This window comes from Homo sapiens, chromosome 19 (genome assembly GCF_000001405.40).
Source record: "Homo sapiens chromosome 19, GRCh38.p14 Primary Assembly".
Lineage (NCBI taxonomy): Eukaryota > Metazoa > Chordata > Mammalia > Primates > Hominidae > Homo > Homo sapiens.
Genome location: NC_000019.10, coordinates 8793635 through 8812175, shown reverse-complemented (window position 1 = coordinate 8812175; position 18541 = coordinate 8793635). Strand labels below are relative to the sequence as shown.

The 18541-nt window shown below is 42.0% G+C and overlaps 1 protein-coding gene across 16 annotated transcripts in view; it reads left to right on the top strand.

The window, feature by feature from the left end:
* The window catches only part of ZNF558 (zinc finger protein 558), a 31975-nt gene extending 25969 nt beyond the window's left edge, over positions 1 to 6006 (top strand). For 14 of the 16 annotated variants that reach the window (XM_024451393.2, XM_024451391.2, XM_024451389.2 and 11 more), the window contains one exon: positions 113 to 4013. In XM_024451393.2, the coding sequence (XP_024307161.1) occupies positions 113 to 895 (783 nt within the window). In that variant the 3' untranslated portion in view covers positions 896 to 4013. Of the gene's footprint in view, positions 1 to 112 lie in introns of all 16 variants that reach the window. The other 2 variants (NM_144693.3, NM_001304350.2) reach the window with 1 other exon arrangement.
* Positions 6007 to 18541: the final 12535 nt, after the last annotated feature.

Here is an 18541-nt window from a genome sequence, read left to right as displayed (position 1 = left end):
AAATATCAATTATAATAATGTAACAGAATTCCTGGGAGAGAAGATTCCTAGGAGAACATTAAGTATTTCAAATATTATAAATTATAGTTATCATTCATCTCTTAATCCACAGGAAAGAAGTCATCGTGGAGTGAAACTCAATGAATGTAATCAGTGTTTTAAAGTCTTCAGCACGAAATCTAACCTAACTCAGCACAAGAGAATTCATACTGGAGAAAAACCCTATGACTGTAGTCAATGTGGGAAGTCCTTCAGTAGCAGATCTTACCTTACTATTCATAAGAGAATCCATAATGGGGAGAAACCCTATGAATGCAATCACTGTGGGAAAGCATTTAGTGATCCCTCATCCCTTAGACTGCATTTGAGAATTCACACTGGAGAAAAACCCTATGAATGTAACCAGTGTTTTCACGTTTTCCGCACCAGTTGTAACCTCAAAAGCCACAAGAGGATTCACACGGGGGAGAATCACCATGAATGTAATCAGTGTGGAAAAGCTTTCAGCACAAGGTCCTCTCTCACTGGGCACAATAGCATTCATACAGGGGAGAAACCTTATGAATGTCACGATTGTGGGAAAACCTTCAGGAAGAGCTCCTATCTGACACAGCACGTAAGAACTCATACTGGAGAAAAACCCTATGAATGTAACGAGTGTGGGAAATCCTTCAGCAGTAGCTTTTCTCTTACTGTGCACAAGAGAATACATACCGGAGAGAAACCCTACGAGTGCAGTGACTGTGGAAAAGCCTTTAATAATCTCTCAGCTGTGAAGAAACACTTAAGAACTCACACTGGAGAAAAACCCTATGAATGTAATCATTGTGGGAAATCCTTCACAAGTAACTCCTATCTTTCTGTGCACAAGAGAATACATAATAGATGGATATGAATTACTGCAGGAACTTCTGGAGGAAAGCACTCATTGATCTTTCATCCCTAAGATAGTTTGAGAGAGCTCACACTGGATATATAAGTTATTTGTTGCAGCATAACAAATGATCCCCGCAAATTTTGTGGCTTCAAACACGAAATGTTTATTCTCTAACAATTTCTACAGATCAGGAATTCAAGAACAGCTTATCTCTGTAGTTACACTGCAGGATCTCTCATGCCTTTACTTACAATCAAGATGTCAGCCAAAGCTATAGTCATCTAACATCTTTACTGATGAACAGTCCACTTCCAAGATGACTTATTCACATGCCTGGAAAGTTGATGTTGGTTGTTGTCAGGGGACCTTCAGTCATTACCATGTAGGCCTCTTTACAAGGCCCAGCTCCTTGACAATTTGGCAATAAGTTCTCGCCAAGGTTAGTGATCCAAGAGAGGACCAATACAGAGGCCAAAATGGCTTTTATGACCTATCCTCAGGAGGACTGCTAAGCTTTCACTTATTTCCTATTGTGTTGGTCTCACAACACACCAATCCTGATACAATGTGAGAGACTGCAGAAGGTATGAATACCAGGAAACAGATAACTCAGAAGCATCTGGGAAATTTGCCATGGAATTAATGAAGAAAAGCCCTCAGCACATCATCCTTCTACTCTAATCAATATGAAATAGCATTCAGTAACTCCTATTAATTCACTCTGAAGAGAAACCTTTTGAGGACAATCTGTATGGTAAAGCTCTCAGCTCGAATTCTCACCTTCATGGGCCCAGAAGATTATGTACTGAGAGAATCCTGAAGAATGGAACAGCTGTAGAAAGCCTTCAGTGCTATCAGCAGGGATTCATGTGACAGCTCACACTAAGGGAGAAAACCTGTGAAGGTCTCAGAAGGCTTCAGTGACAGTCATCCCTTAAGACGCACTGGAAATCACACAATGGAACAACACTCAGAAATGCGGAATACCCTACAGCAAAAGTGTTCACATTACTGAGCAAACTATAGTGTGGTATTCTGCAGTGACTATGGGAAAGCCTTGAATGTTCTATCGGTTTTTAAGGGACTTGAGAATTAATTCTGGAGAGAATGCCCCATTGAACATCATCAATATTGGAGAGCTTTCTGTTTTTCTACATTTGTTAGGAAACTTGTGAGCATTCACACTACAGAGAAACTTGAAATATAAAGAAGAAGAGAAAGCCTTCAGTGATGCCTCTGTGTTAGGGAAAATATGGAACTTCTCCCTGGATGCAAAACCTATGAGTATATTAATATTGGAAAATTTTTCAGTGATTCTTCTCTTTCTTGTATATGAGAGAACTTATATGGAGAAACCCCTAGGAATGTAATCAGTGTTAGGATGCCTCAGCCTGAACTCTTCACTGAGTGGCCACAATTTTCACTGGGAACAAAAAGTATAATCACTGTTTTGAGTGTGGGATATCCTTTATCAGTGTCTCATCTGTAGATTGGACTGCTGGCTCATTAATTTTTTTAGTCTTTTTTTCTTTTAATATAAACATTTGTGTATAGCTGTTCCCTAAAATAAACATTAACATATTTCATAATTTTAATGCAATGTATTTATTATAATTAATTTGCTTGTTAAAGACATCCACACATTGCATATTCAAAAAGTTATTTCCAAATACCTTCTGAGTGATTCAGTTTATCATAATGGAAATTAGTATTTATAAACACATTTTTCTAATGTAGTGGTATTTTTGGCAGAGTACATGAGCTTTATGATACTGATTATTTTCTCTCTATCTTGGTATGCCAAATACTGTTGGTTTCTTTCCCAGTGTCCGTTCTCTTCAGTTTATTCGTTTAAAGAAACAAACATGTTGTTCAAGTTGTCTGTGAACAATATCGAAAGTTCTCAATCTTATAGTTTTTCCTGAAGCCCAGGCGGGTTTTTTCGCACTCCCCTGGCAATGAGAAGTAAGTCGAAGTCACTGTGTGGAACATCTCCTGGCTTGTTCTCCTCACATATTTTCCATTCACCTCACCCATTCTGTCTCTTGGAAAGTGGCCTCAAGGTCTAGAGTTTGAAGAGCTTCTTTTTGACCACAATGACAGAAACCAAAGTGCAGCCAAAAATCACAATGCTTTGGGCTCTCCAGGAGCCTCCGATTGGCTGCATCTGCTCTGGACTCCTTATTCTTATACTTCTTATGTGACTAAAAGAAACCCCTAGGCTGGGTGTGGTGGCTCACGCCTTTAATCCCAGCACTTTTGAGAGGCTGAGGTGGGTGGATCATGAGGTCAACAGATTGAGACCATCCTGGCCAACGTGGTGAAACCCTATCTCTACTAAAAGTATAAAGATTAGCTGGGTGTGGTGGTGCACACCTGTATTCCCAGCTACTCGGGAAACTGAGACAGGAGAATTGCCTGAACCTGGGAGGTAGAGGTTGCAGTGAGCCAAGATGGCGCCAGTGCACTCCAGCCTGGCAACAGAGCGAGACTCCATCTCAAAATAAACAAATAAATATTTTTAAAAAAAGAAACCCCTAACTGATTGAAGCCAACATGATCTGTTGTTTGTTTTTGAGGTGGTGTTCTGTTAACTTCCAGCAGGATGCAGAATCTAACTGGTAAACCTATAAATTGGTCAAGTTTTACCCATGTTGTTTCTTTGAAAACAATGTATATTCTCTAATATTTGGATATAGGGTATATGAACATTAATGCAACTTAATTGTATTTCCAAGTACAGTACGTATGTTCAGATTTCTTTTTCTAACCTTATTTAGTGATAGAGGTGTGGTAAACTCTTCCATTATGTTTATGTATTAACACTGTAATTTTGTCATTTTTATATATTTTGACATTATGTAACTAGATGCATACAGGATTAGGTATTCTGTATTCCTTTTTATGTGGAGATGATATTTTTACATAGCAAAGTATTGTAATGCATTAATAATAAATGGTCAAACATTTATTTATTTATTTATTTATTTTAGATGGAGTTTCACTCTTGTCATCAAGGGTGGAGTGCAATGGTGCGATCTCGGCTCACTGCAACCTTGGCCTCCCAGGTTCCAGCAATTCTCCTGCCTCAGCCTCCTGAGTAGCTGGGATTACAGGCACCTGCCACCACGCCCAGGTAATTTTTTTATATTTTTAGTAGAGATGGGGTTTCACCATGTTGGCCAGGCTAGTCTCGAACTCCTGATGGTCAGACATTTATATTGCACTTCCCATAGATCAGGCCCCCTTCTAAATGACATATAAGTATTAACTCAGTATGCATTATAAACTTAAGTATGTAATGTTATTATCCCCAGTTTACAGATGAGAAAACTGGTATGATACACTTAAGTTACTTGCCTGCATTCACTGACTGGTAAATGGTAGAGCCAAGATCTGAACCCAGACAGTCCATGCACTTAACCACTACCCTATTAACGGAGTATGTTCTGTGTGCCAGGCAAAGTTTTGCCATTGAAATACTTCACCTAATGGAGGAGGAACAGATTATAGAAAAATCAAGAAAATATGGTATTATAGAGTTATAGGAAAAAAAAGCATTTTAGGAGAGTTAAGGGGGGTTGGGAATAATAATTTTATATAACTAGGAAAAGAAAGCCTCTTGGTAAGGAGCATTTGAGCGGAGATCTCAACAAGTTGGGACAGTGAGTCATATGAATTTGTCTTGCAAGAGTAGTGTTGGCATGCAAAGGCCCACAACAAGGAGGCCAATACAGCTGGAGTGGAACAAAGGGGTGATGAGGGAGCAGTAAAAGATGATGTGGTCAGAGACATGGTAGATCCTGATCTTGTTGGGTTTTCTGAGACATTGTTAGGACTTTTCCTTATTTCAGTGAGTTGGCACATCAGTCAGGGTCCCAGCAGGAACTCAGGTTGACACCCACAGACTAGGACAATTCAAGTAGAGTTTTCATAAAGGGTCTACTCAGTCCTGTGGACAGGATCCAGGGAAACCACAAAAAGTTGTAAAGCACCCAGCAGCTTAGCAGGGCAGAGCTCTAACACCTCACAGCCTGAAGGGACGAAGGGAGGGAGCAACTGAATCTGGAGACGAGAGGAGAGGGCTGCATTCCAGGAGCTGAGAGAGGTCAGTCAGCGATAGCATCCAGCCCCAGGTCCTCCTGCAGGAAATAGCCAGGGTCAGACCTCACTCTCCTTCATCCATTGAGACAGGAAAATATCCCCATTTATGAATATATAAATCAATAGCAGATCCAGAGACAATTTGGGTATTGGAGTTAGCAGACAAAGACTTTAAAATAACCAAGAATAATATGTTAAGGGAAATGGAGGAAACATGGACAAACCATAGAAAATGAGAGACAAACTGCAAATCTACCAAACAACCAAAGAAGAAGGACACATTGCTTTCAAAGCAGCATCAGTAAGACTAATGATGACTTTTCAAAAGAAACTATGGAAGCAAGAAGACAATGAATGACATCTGACATATAAAGGGTTAAATGGGTTGGAGGAGGGGGAAATTGTCAATCAAAAGTTCTGTAACCTAAGAAAATATTCTTCAAAACTGAAGGCAACAATGTTTTCCAATGGGAGGGAATATTTTTTTTTTTTTTTTTGAGATGGAGTCTCACTCTGTCGCCATGCTGGAGTGCAGTGGCATGATCTCGGCTCACTGCAACCTCCTCCTCCTGGGTTCAAGTGATTCTCCTGCCTCAGCCTCCTGAGTAGCTGGGACTACAGGTGTGTGCTACCACGCCCAGCTAATTTTTGTATTTTTAGTGGAGACAGGGTTTCACCATGTTGGCCAGGATGGTCTCGATCCTTTGACCTCACATGATTTGCCCACCTCGGTCTCCCAAAGTGCTGGGATTACAGGCGTGAGCCACCACGCCCGGCCTGGGAGGGATTTTTTTAAGCTGAGAGAATTAACAGCATAACCGTATTTTCAGAAACACTGAAGAGATTTCTTCAGGCTTCAGGAAAATGATTCCATAGAGACATACATAATTCCAGGAATTAAGATCAACAGGAAACATAAGATGCAAGTAAATATAAATCAGTACTGACTGTATAAAACAACCCTGTATAGTTTTACAACTTTTATGTATATCTAAACTTTCCAAAATAAAATGCTTTTAAAAACACATTGCATTGATCTCCCCAAACTAGAGGTGGTGGAAAGCACTGCAGGAGATTTCTCCCCCAACACACACAAACACACAAGACTAGTGATTATGGAAGGCCCAACAAGTGGTGCGTATAGTCTGCATCCAACAATAGAGATGATAGAAGTCCTAGTAAGGGGTCATCAGGCCCCTCCAAAACTAGAGGCAACAAGACCTCAGTTAGCAGGTGTCATCCCCAAACACAAAAGATACTGAGAAAGCAAGACATCCATCCTCCCAAAACTAGAACTGATGGAAATTTCAATAAGCACCTCCAGTTATGTCTGATACTTGAAATGACAGCAATCCCACAAGTGACTTCCTCAGCTGCCCCTCAGCACTAAAGAATGAGGATCCCAAGCCCAGTGACCTACCTCATCTATACCAATAATAAGGAAGACCCAGAAAGTGACTCTAGTAACCCCCTCAACACTAGATAAAATAGGTTAAAAGAGACCCTTCCAAACCCACTGGACAGAGATAAGTGGACCCCCACAGAATAACAACCCATCTTCTTCCCAAACTAAGACAATGGGACCTCCATCCAGGTACACTTCCCTGACTCCCCAATATTTAAAAAATGGGAGTCAAAGGTAGTGATCCTCCAGGCCCTAAAAAACAGGAGCTCGTACCTCCAGCCTCTTAGTTACACCCCTCAACACAATGAGGATTCCATCAGATGAGAACTTCAAGTGACCCCCCTATATTCCTCTAACATTAGATGAAGGAAACCCAAAAAGGCAATTTCCAATCCCCTACATACTAAAGAAAGCTCCAAATTCCACAACACTCTCACTCAACACAAACCCTAGCTTGCCTCCCTTGTCTCCCCAAGAGCAGACACAAATATCCCCAGCAAGGATACCACAGCCTTCCCCCAATACAATCATGAGAATCTCAACAGGCAACCCGCCAGGTTCTACCTCTCATTCGATTATTACAAAATAAGAGTTGACAGAAGCATCAGGAAGCAACACTCTCAACATAAATGAGGAGAGCCCACAGTGTGAGTCCCTCAAGTCTTCCCTAACATAAGATGACTGCCCCTTCAGTGAGCCCTCTTTATTCCAAACACAAGAAACCAGCTGAGCCCTAGTAGGCAACTCTTCAGCTTGCTCTTGCAATGCAGATGTCTGTCCCCACCTGATAGCAGATACGTAGAGCCCCATCAAACCAAGTGTCTCCTTTCCCAGGGAATGTTAGAACATGGAAGACAACAGTAGTCCCAACATGCCAGCATATGCCCCCAAGCTCCCATAATACAGGAGGTGACAGGAGCCCAGGAAGCAAACCTTCCCCCAACATTTTCTGCACCCAGCAGACCGCTCTTATAGGCTGCATTCCCAGCTGACCCTCAGAGCATCAACTGCTCAGAAAGGCCCTGAGAGGAAAAGGAAGGGTGAAGCTGGGGGTGAGGCTGAGAAGAACAGAGAGGGGAGAAAGGGGAAAGGAAACCTTGCAACTTATCCCAAACACAGCCATAAAAATGCCAGAGGCCCCAGACAGCTACAATGAAACCAGGCTCTACAGCAGAAAAAAAAGATAACAGGGGGTGGGGATTTCTGGGCTGATGAGGTGGTCTGGAGGAAAGGTGGATGTGTTCGCTAGCCTTCAAGATGCTCACCAAGGATCCTTGCCACCTGAGATTCCTGTCCTGTGTAGCACCCCACACACACCCCAATATTTAATCAGATGACCCATATAATCAATACAGTGCTGCTGCTGAAGTGACCATGTGTGGCATCTCAGGCCAGGTCATAAGACACACTGAAGCTTCCTCGGTTTCTTCAATTGCTCCCTCCCTGGAGAAAGCCATCCACCATGCCATGAGGACACTCAAGCAGCGCCGTGGCAAAGGACCAACTTTCCAGCACCACATTGCTAGGCAGAAGATGAGCCACCTTGGAAAGAGATCTTCCAGCCCCAAATTTTGAACTCTAATTAATGATATGTATGTTAAAAATGTTTAGGGGAGAAATCTATTGCTGTCTGCAAACTACTTCAAAATGCAAAAAAAAAATAAAAATAAAGATGGGTTGATGAATGATACAGAGATCAATGTGGTCAGGCAAGTATAATAAAGTATCACTGATGGAATCTAGATGGTAGATTATATTAGTTTGGTAGGGCTACTATAAAATACCACAGACTTGCTGGTGAAAAGTAGAAATTTGGGCCAGGCCCAGTGGCTCACACCTGTAATCCAGCACTTTGGGAGGCCGAGGGTGGTGGATCATTTGAGGTCAGGAGTTCTAGACCAGCGTGGCCAACATAGCAAAACCCCGTCTTTACTAAAAATACAAAAATCGTGTGGGCATGGTGGTGCATGCCTGTAGTCCCACCTACTTGGGAGTCTGAGGCAAGAGAATCACTTGAACCTGGGAGGCAGAAGTTGCGGTAAGCCAAGATCGCACCATTGCACTCCAGCCTGGGCAACAGAGTGAGACTCCATTTCAAAGAAAATAAATAAATAAAAAGTAGAAATTTATTTTCCCACAGTCCTGGAGGCTGGAAGTCCAAGATCAAGGGGCTGGCAAGGTTGGTTTCTCCTGAGGTCTCTGCATGGCTTGCAGATGGCTACCCCCTTGCTGCCCCTTCTGTCTGTGCACCACAATGCTTCTTGGTCTATTATGTCCTAATTTCCTTATAAAAACACCAGCCAAACTGGATTAGGGCACACCCTAAAAGCCTCATTTTAACTTACTTAATTGCCTCTTTAAAAGCCTGATCTTGGCCGGGTACGGTGGTTCATGCCTGTAATCCCAGCACTTTGGGAGGCCAACGTGGGCGGATCATGAGGTCAAGAGATTGAGACCATCCTGGCCAACATGGTGAAACCCTGTCTGTACTAAAAATACAAAAATTACCTGGGGATGGTGGCACGTTCCTGTAGTCACAGCTACTCAGAGGCTAAGGCAGGAGATCGCTTGAACCTGGGAGGCGGAGGTTGCAGTGAGCTAAGATCGCACCACTGCACTCCAGCCTGGTGACAGAGTGAGACTCCATCTCAAAAAAAAAAAAAAAAAAAAAAAAAAAAAAAAAAAAGCCTGATCTTACACATAGAGTCCCATTCTGAGGTACTGGGGTTAGGGCTCCAGCATATTAATTTGGGGGGTGAGGGGATGGGGACAATTCAGTCTATAAGTGGATGCTCACTTGTAAAATTATTTCAAATTATCTCCCTGTTTGAAAATATTTAATAATAGGATGGGAACTGTAGCTCACACCTTAAGGCCAGTGCTTTGGGAGGCCAAGGCAGGAGGATCACTTGAGATCAGGAGTTCAAGACAAGCCTGGGCAACATAGTAAGACCCCATCTCTACCAAAAAAAAATTAGCTGGGCATGGTGGCATGTGCCTGTAGTTTCAGCTACTCAAAAAGCTGAGGCAGGAGATTGCTTGAGCCCAGGAAGTCAAGGCTGCATTGAGCTGTGATTTGTTCTGTGGAGCAAGATCCTGTCTCAAAAAAAAAAAAAAAAAAAAAAAAGACAGGTAACTGATCTGAAGGTGAAGCTTGGACCAGCAAAAAATGGACCAGAACAACCCAAATGCCCATCAATTTATAAATGAGTGTTTTTAATGTGATATATTCATACATTGTGTATTATTCAGCCACAGAGGTGGGAAGGATGTGTCTACATGAATGAAAACCTTGTGCTAAGGGAAAGACGCTACTCACAAAAGACCAACTATATGTAATTCCATTTCTATGAAATGTCAAAAATAGATAAATCTATACAGATGGAAAGTAGATTAGTGGTTGCTTAGGGGGAGTTGGACAGGGAAAATACAGGGATATGGTTCAAGTTCTATTCAGTTCCTTTTCGTAATTTCTATCTCTTTATTGATACTCTTGATGTTCTCTATATGTTGAGTGTAAGAGTTGAAGAAAGAAACAGGAAAAGCAGCTCAACAGTCAAAGACAGGTTTATTTTGGGAATAAACCTGAGAGGGGCTTCTGGCCAATTTAGGTCAGGAGTATTCTCTCTTACAGACTAAAACTATTTAAGAGTTTAGGGGCTGGGCACGGTGGCTCATGCCTGTAATCCCAGCACTTTGGGAGGCCGAGGCAGGTGAATCACGAGGTCAGGAGTTCGAGACTAGCCTGACCAACATGGTGAAACCCTGTCTCTACTAAAAATAGAAAAATTAGGAGGGAGGAGCCAAGATGGCCAAATAGGAACAGCTCCAGTCTACAGCTCCCAGAGTGAGCGACACAGAAGATGGGTGATTTCTGCATTTCCATCTGAGGTACTGGGTGCATCTCACTAGGGAGTGCCAGACAGTGGGCGCAGGACAGTGGGTGCAGTGCGCCGTGTGCGAGCTGAAGCAGGGCAAGGCATTGCCTCACTCGGGAAGTGCAAGGGGTCAGGGAGTTCCCTTTCCTGGTCAAGGAAAGGGTGACAGACAGCACCTGGAAAATTGGGTCACTCCCACCCAAATACTGCGCTTTTCCGATGGGCTTAGGAAACGGCACACCAGGAGATTGTATCCCGCACCTGGCTCGGAGGGTCCTATGCCCATGGAGTCTTGCTGATTGCTAGCACAGCAGTCTGAGATTAAACTGCAAGGCAGCAGCGAGGCTGGGGGAAGGGTGCCCGCATTGCTCAGGCTCACTTAGGTAAACAAAGCAGCCAGGAAGCTCGAACTGGGTGGAGCCCACCACAGCTCAAGTAGGCCTGCCTGCCTCTGTAGGCTCCACCTCTGGGGGCAGGGCACAGACAAACAAAAAGACAGCAGTAACCTCTGCAGACTTAAATGTCCCTGTCTGACAGCTCTGAAGGAGCAGTGGTTCTCCCAGCATGCAGCTGGAGATCTGAGAACAGGCAGACTGCCTCCTCAAGTGGGTCCCTGACCCCTGACCCCTGAGCAGCCTAACTGGGAGGCACCCCCCAGTAGGGGCAGACTGACACCTCACACGGCCGGGTACTTATCTGAGACAAAACTTCCAGAGGAACGATCAGACAGCAGCATTCGTGGTTCATGAAAATCCGCGGTTCTGCAGACACGGCTGCTGATACCCAGGCAAACAGGGTCTGGAGTGGACCTCGAGCAAACTCCAACAGACCTGCAGCTGAGGGTCCTGTCTGTTAGAAGGAAAACTAACAAACAGAAAGGACATCCACACCAAAAACCCATCTGCACATCACCATCATCAAAGACCAAAAGTAGATAAAACCACAAAGATGGGGAAAAAACAGAGCAGAAAAACTGAAACTCTAAAAAGCAGAGCGCCTCTCCTCCAAAGGAATGCAGTTCGTCACCAGCAACGGAACAAAGCTGGACGGAGAATGACTTTGACGAGTTGAGAGAAGAAGTCTTCAGACGATCAAACTACTCCGAGCTACAGGAGGAAATTCAAACCAAAGGCAAAGAAGTTGAAAACTTTGAAAAAAATTTAGACGAATGTATAACTAGAATAACCAATACAGAGAAGTGCTTAAAGGAGCTGATGGAGTTGAAAGCCAAGGCTCAAGAACTACGTGAAGAATGCAGAAGCCTCAGGAGCCGATGCAATCAACTGGAAGAAAGGGTAGCAGTGATGGAAGATGAAATGAATGAAATGAAGTGAGAAGGGAAGTTTAGAGAAAAAAGAATAAAAAGAAATGAACAAAGCCTCCAAGAAATATGGGACTATGTGAAAAGACCAAATCTGCATCTGATCAGTGTACCTGAAAGTGACAGGGAGAATGGAACCAAGTTGGAAAACACTCTGCAGGATATTATCCAGGAGAACTTCCCCAATCTAGCAAGGCAGGCCAACATTCAGATTCAGGAAATGCAGAGAATGCCACAAAGATATTCCTCAAGAAGAGCAACTCCAAGACACATAATTGTCAGATTGACCAAAGTTGAAATGAAGGAAAAAATGTTAAGGGCAGCCAGAGAGAAAGGTCGGGTTACTCACAAAGGGAAGCCCATCAGACTAACAGCGGATCTCTCAGCAGAAACTCTACAAGCCAGAAGAGAGTGGGGGCCAATATTCAACATTCTTAAAGAAAAGAATTTTCAACCCAGAATTTCATATCCAGCCAAACTAAACTTCATAAGTGAAGGAGAAATAAAATACTTTACAAGCAAGCAAATGCTGAGAGATTTTGTCACCACCAGGCCTGCCCTAAAAAAGTCCCTGAAGGAAGCACTAAACGTGGAAAGGAACAACTGGAACCAGCCCCTGCAAAATCATGCCAAAATGTAAAGACCATCAAGACTAGGAAGAAACTGCATCAACTAACGAGCAAAATAACCAGCTAACATCATAATGACAGGATCAAATTCACATATAACAATATTAACTTTAAATGTAAATGGACTAAATGCTCCAATTAAAAGACACAGACTGGCAAATTGGATAAAGAGTCAAGACCCATCAGTGTGCTGTATTCAGGAAACCCATCTCACGTGCAGAGACACACATAGGCTCAAAATAAAAGGATGGAGGAAGATCTACCAAGCAAATGGAAAACAAAAAAAGGCAGGGGTTGTAATCCTAGTCTCTGATAAAACAGACTTTAAACCAACAAAGATCGAAAGAGACAAAGAAGGCCATTACATAATGGTAAAGGGATCAATTCAACAAGAAGAGCTAACTATCCTAAATATATATGCCCCCAATACAGGAGCACCCAGATTCATAAAGCAAGTCCTGAGTGACCTACAAAAAGACTTAGACTCCCACACAATAATAATGGGAGACTTTAACACCCCACTGTCAACATTAGACAGATCAATGAGACAGAAAGTTAACAAGGATACCCAGGAATTGAACTCAGCTCTACACCAAGCAGACCTAATAGACATCTACAGAACTCTCCACCCCAAATCAACAGAATGTACATTTTTTTCAGCACCACACAACACCTATTCCAAAATTGACCACATAGTTGGAAGTAAAGCTCTCCTCAGCAAATGTAAAAGAACAGAAATTATAACAAACTGTCTCTCAGACCACAGTGCAATCAAACTAGAACTCAGGATTAAGAAACCCACTCAAAACTGCTCAACTACATGGAAACTGAACAACCTGCTCCTGAATGACTACTGGGTACATAATGAAATGAAGGCAGAAATAAAGATGTTCTTTGAAACCAATGAGAACAAAGACACAATATACCAGAATCTCTGGGACACATTCAAAGCAGTGTGTAGAGGGAAATTTATAGCACTAAATGCCCACAAGAGAAAGCAGGAAAGATCCAAAATGGACACCCTAACATCACAATTAAAAGAACTAGAAAAGCAAGAGCAAACACATTCAAAAGCTAGCAGAAGGCAAGAAATAACTAAAATCAGATCAGAACTGAAGGAAATAGAGACCAAAAAAACCCTTCAAAAAATTAGTGAATCCAGGAGCTGGTTTTTTGAAAGGATCAACAAAATTGATAGACCACTAGCAAGACTAATAAAGAAAAAAAGAGAGAAGAATCAAATAGACACAATAAAAAATGATAAAGGGGATATCACCACCGATCCCACAGAAATACAAACTACCATGAGAGAATACTACAAACACCTCTATGCAAATAAACTAGAAAATCTAGAAGAAATGGATAAATTCCTCGACACATACACTCTCCCAAGACTAAACCAGGAAGAAGTTGAATCTCTGAATAGACCAATAACAGGAGCTGAAACTGTGGCAATAATCAATAGCTTACCAACCAAAAAGATTCCAGGACCAGATGGATTCACAGCCGAATTCTACCAGAGGTACAAGGAGGAACTGGTACCATTCCTTCTGAAACTATTCCAATCAATAGAAAAAGAGGGAATCCTCCCTAACTCGTTTTATGAGGCCAGCATCATCCTGATACCAAAGCCGGGCAGAGACACAACCAAAAAAGAGAATTTTAGACCAATATCCTTGATGAACATTGATGCGAAAATCCTCAATAAAATACTGGCAAACCGAATCCAGCAGCACATCAAAAAGCTTATCCACCATGATCAAGTGGGCTTCATCCCTGGGATGCAAGGCTGGTTCAATATACACAAATCAATAAATGTAATCCAGCATATAAACAGAACCAAAGACAAAAACCACATGATTATCTCAATAGATGCAGAAAAGGCCTTTGACAAAATTCAACAACCCTTCATGCTAAAAACTCTCAATAAATTAGGTATTGATGGGACATATCTCAAAATACTAAGAGCTATCTATGACAAACCCACAGCCAATATCATACTGAATGGGCAAAAACTGGAAACATTCCCTTTGAAAACTGGCACAAGACAGGGATGCCCTCTCTCACCACTCCTATTCAACATAGTGTTGGAAGTTCTGGCCAGGGCAATTAGGCAGGAGAAGGAAATAAAGGGTATTCAGTTAGGAAAACAGGAAGTCAAATTGTCCCTGTTTGCAGACGACATGATTGTATATCTAGAAAACCCCATTGTCTCAGCCCAAAATCTCCTTAAGCTGATAAGCAACTTCAGCAAAGTCTCAGGATACAAAATCAATGTACAAAAATCACAAGCATTCTTATACACCAATAACAGACAAACACAGAGCCAAATCATAAGTGAACTCCCATTCATAATTGCTTCAAAGAGAATAAAATACCTAGGAATGCAACTTACAAGGGACGTGAAGGACCTCTTCAAGGAGAACTACAAACCACTGCTCAATGAAATAAAAGAGGATACAAACAAATGGAAGAACATTCCATGCTCATGGGTAGGAAGAATCAATATCGTGAAAATGGCCATACTGCCCAGGGTAATTTATAGATTCAATGCCATCCCCATCAAGATACTGATGACTTTCTTCACAAAATTGGAAAAAACTACTTTAAAGTTCACATGGAACCAAAAAAGAGCCCACATCGCCAAGTCAATCCTAAGCCAAAAGAACAAAGCTGGAGGCATCATGCTACCTGACTTCAAACTATACTACAAGGCTACAGCAACCAAAACAGCATGGTACTGGTACCAAAACAGAGATATAGATCAATGGAACAGAACAGAGCCCTCAGAAATAACACCACATATCTACAACTATCTGATCTTTGACAAATCTGAGAAAAACAAGCAATGGGGAAAGGATTCCCTGTTTAATAAATGGTGCTGGGAAAACTGGCTAGCCATATGTAGAAAGCTGAAACTGGATCCCTTCCTTACACCTTATACAAAAATTAATTCAAGATGGATTAAAGACTTAAACGTTAGACCTAAAACCATAAAAACCCTAGAAGAAAACCTAGGCATTACCATTTAGGACATAGGCATGAGCAAGGACTTCATGTCTAAAACACCAAAAGCAATGGCAACAAAAGCCAAAATTGACAAATGGGATCTAATTAAACTAAAGAGCTTCTGCACAGCAAAAGAAACTACCATTGGAGTGAACAGGCAACCTATAAAATGGGAGAAAATTTTCACAACCTACTCATCTGACAAAGGGCTAATATCCAGAATCTACAATGAACTCAAACACATTTACAAGGAAAAAGCAAACAACCCCAACAAAAAGTGGGAGAAGGACATGAACAGACACTTCTCAAAAGAAGACATTTATGCAGCCAAAAAACACATGAAAAAATGCTCACCATCACTGGCTATCAGAGAAATGCAAATCAAAACCACAATGAGATACCATCTCACACTAGTTAGAATGGCAATCATTAAAAAGTCAGGAAACAACAGGTGCTGGAGAGGATGTGGAGAAATAGGAACACTTTCACACTGTTGGTGGGACTGTAAACTAGTTCAACCATTGTGGAAGTCAGTGTGGCAGTTCCTCAGGGATCTAGAACTAGAAATACCATTTGACCCAGCCATCCCATTACTGAGTATATACCCAAAGGACTATAAATCATGCTGCTATAAAGACACATGCACACGTATGTTTATTGGGGCACTATTCACAATAGCAAAGACTTGGAACCAACCCAAATGTCCAACAATGATAGACTGGATTAAGAAAATGTGGCACATATACACCATGGAATACTATGCAGCCATAAAAAATGATGAGTTCATGTCCTTTGTAGGGACATGGATGAAATTGGAAATCATCATTCTCAGTAAACTATCACAAGGACAAAAAACCAAACACCGCATGTTCTCACTCATAGATGGGAATTGAACAATGAGAACACATGGACACAGGAAGGGGAATATCACACTCTGGGGACTGTTGCGGGATGGGGGGAGTGGGGAGGGATAGCATTAGGAGATATACCTAATGCTAAATGACGAGTTAATGGGTGCAGCACACCAGCATGGCACATGTACACATATGTAACTAACCTGCACATTGTGCACATGTACCCTAAAACTTAAAGTATAATAATAAAAAAATTTATTTGAAAAAATAATAATAATTAAATAAATAAATAAAAATAAACATAGAAAAATTAGCCAGGCATGGTGGCACGTGCCTGTAATCCCATCTACTCAGGAGGCTGAGGCAGGAGAATCGCTTGAACCTGGGAAGCGGAGGTTGCAGTGATGCGAGATCACGCCACTGCACTCCAGCCTGGGCAGCAGAGCAAGATTCCATCTCAAAAAGAAAAGTTTAGTGAGGGAGAGCTTATCACAGGTTCAGAATGTTTTCTGAGTGGAGGAGAGTTTATCTCAGCATTGGAATGTTTCTGGTCAAAGGTGTCATTTATGGTTTATGGTCAAGCTGAGATTAGCCATTAGACTCATGTTTTAGGGGCTGGATTTAGGCGATTTTTAATCAAAGGGAACTTAAAATAGTGGTGTTTGTCCAAGATGGCAATGCACCTGCTCTGTCATTGAGACATCTTTGTCAAGGGTTTTCTTTCAAGCTTGTCTGACCTGCCTTATTTTGGTGATGGTGTTCTCTTTCGTTTTTGGCTTTTAGCAGCCTGAATCCATGGTTTCTAGTTTCTGTCTCTAGTGATAAGCAGAAAAGAGGGATGAGGATGGGGCTTTACTGGCCCAACCAGAAACAGAAACAAAAACACATGACTATGTTCTCTCCCTTGGACATGCCTGCTTAGCTCTTTGAACATATTTAAGATAGTTGTGTTAAAGTATTTGTAGGGGGATTCTCCCCCTTCCCCAGGTTTTGTTGTTGTGGCTTGCTTTGGGCTCCCCTTTTCCATTTGTTCAGTGACTTTTCCAACTATTTTTAGAAAGACTATATTCCTTGTTGTGTGTGGTCAGTAAAATCCCTTTTTCCATTATCTCAAATAGAACATAGATCTCTTTTTGGTTTTTTGTTTTTGTTTTTGTTTTTTGAGACAGAGTCTCACTCTTGTCACTCAGGCCACAGTGCAGTGGCATGATCTCGGTTCACTGCAACCTCCACCTCCCAGGTTCAAGTGATTCACCTGCCTCAGCTTCCCAAGTAGCTGGGATTACAGGTGTGTGCCACCACACCCGGCTAATTTTTGTATTTTTAGTAGAGATGAGGTTTCACTATGCTGGTCAGGCTGGTCTCGAACTCCTGGTGGCCTCAAGTGATCTGCCTGCCTTGACCTCCCAAAGTGCTGGGATTACAGGTGTGAGCTGCCATGCCTGGCTAGTAATGTAACAATTAGTTTTAAAGTTAACTCTAGCATGACTTTCCAGGCAAGGATAGTGTCTACTGAAGGATTGAAAGACACAAACTACCAGCATCTGCCTGGGGCTAGGGGATATTGGGTTAGGCAAGAAGCAGACAGACCCAAAAGCCTCACAAAGGAGACAGCTGAGAAGGAAGTTTGTTGAAAATAATGAGGACTTGGAAGGGTCACCACATATCCCAGGGAAGGGACTGTAGTGTGCGGGACACTAGAAAGTAACACACTGGATCCAAGCTCAGAAAAACCTGAGATGGTTGGGCACGGTGGCTCATACCTGTAATCCCAGCTACTCGGGAGGCTGAGGCAGGAGAATCGCTTGAACCCAGGAGGCGCAGGTTGCAGTGAGCCGAGATCGCGCCACTGCACTCCAGCCTGGGCAACTAGAGTGAAACTCCGTCTCAAAAAAAAAAAAAAAAACAGTAAATCGATGGAGGAACATTTGTTTTTAGAACCATTTCTCTCCTGAAAACCTAATGTGTGATAAAGATAGAATTTCAAAACAGTTTAACAATGACGATTTAATTAGAGGCCTGTGAACAATAGATTATACATGCGTAAGAGAATTTTGCTCGACTAACTTTTGAATTAGGAAAACTCCTCAATATATTAGAAATATTAATATATCATCAAGCTAATATTTAAACATTATAAAGCTAACAAAACTCTGAGGAAGCAAGAAGAAAACAGAAACTAAATCATGTGCAACTTAGATATTTGATCAAAATATGCACATTTAGCGTGTCTATCAGGTGATAAGTAAAATATAGAAATTGATTCAAAATACAAAAGGAGCTCAAACATCTCAATAGCACACAACCTTTTTTTTTTTTTTTCTGAGACAGAGTCTATTGCCCAGTCTGGAGTGCAGTGGAACAATCTCAGCTCACCCCAACCTCCACCTCTCAGGTTCAAGCAATTCTCCGGCCTCAGCCTCCTGAGGAGCTGGCAGTACAGGTGCCTGCCACCACGCCTGAC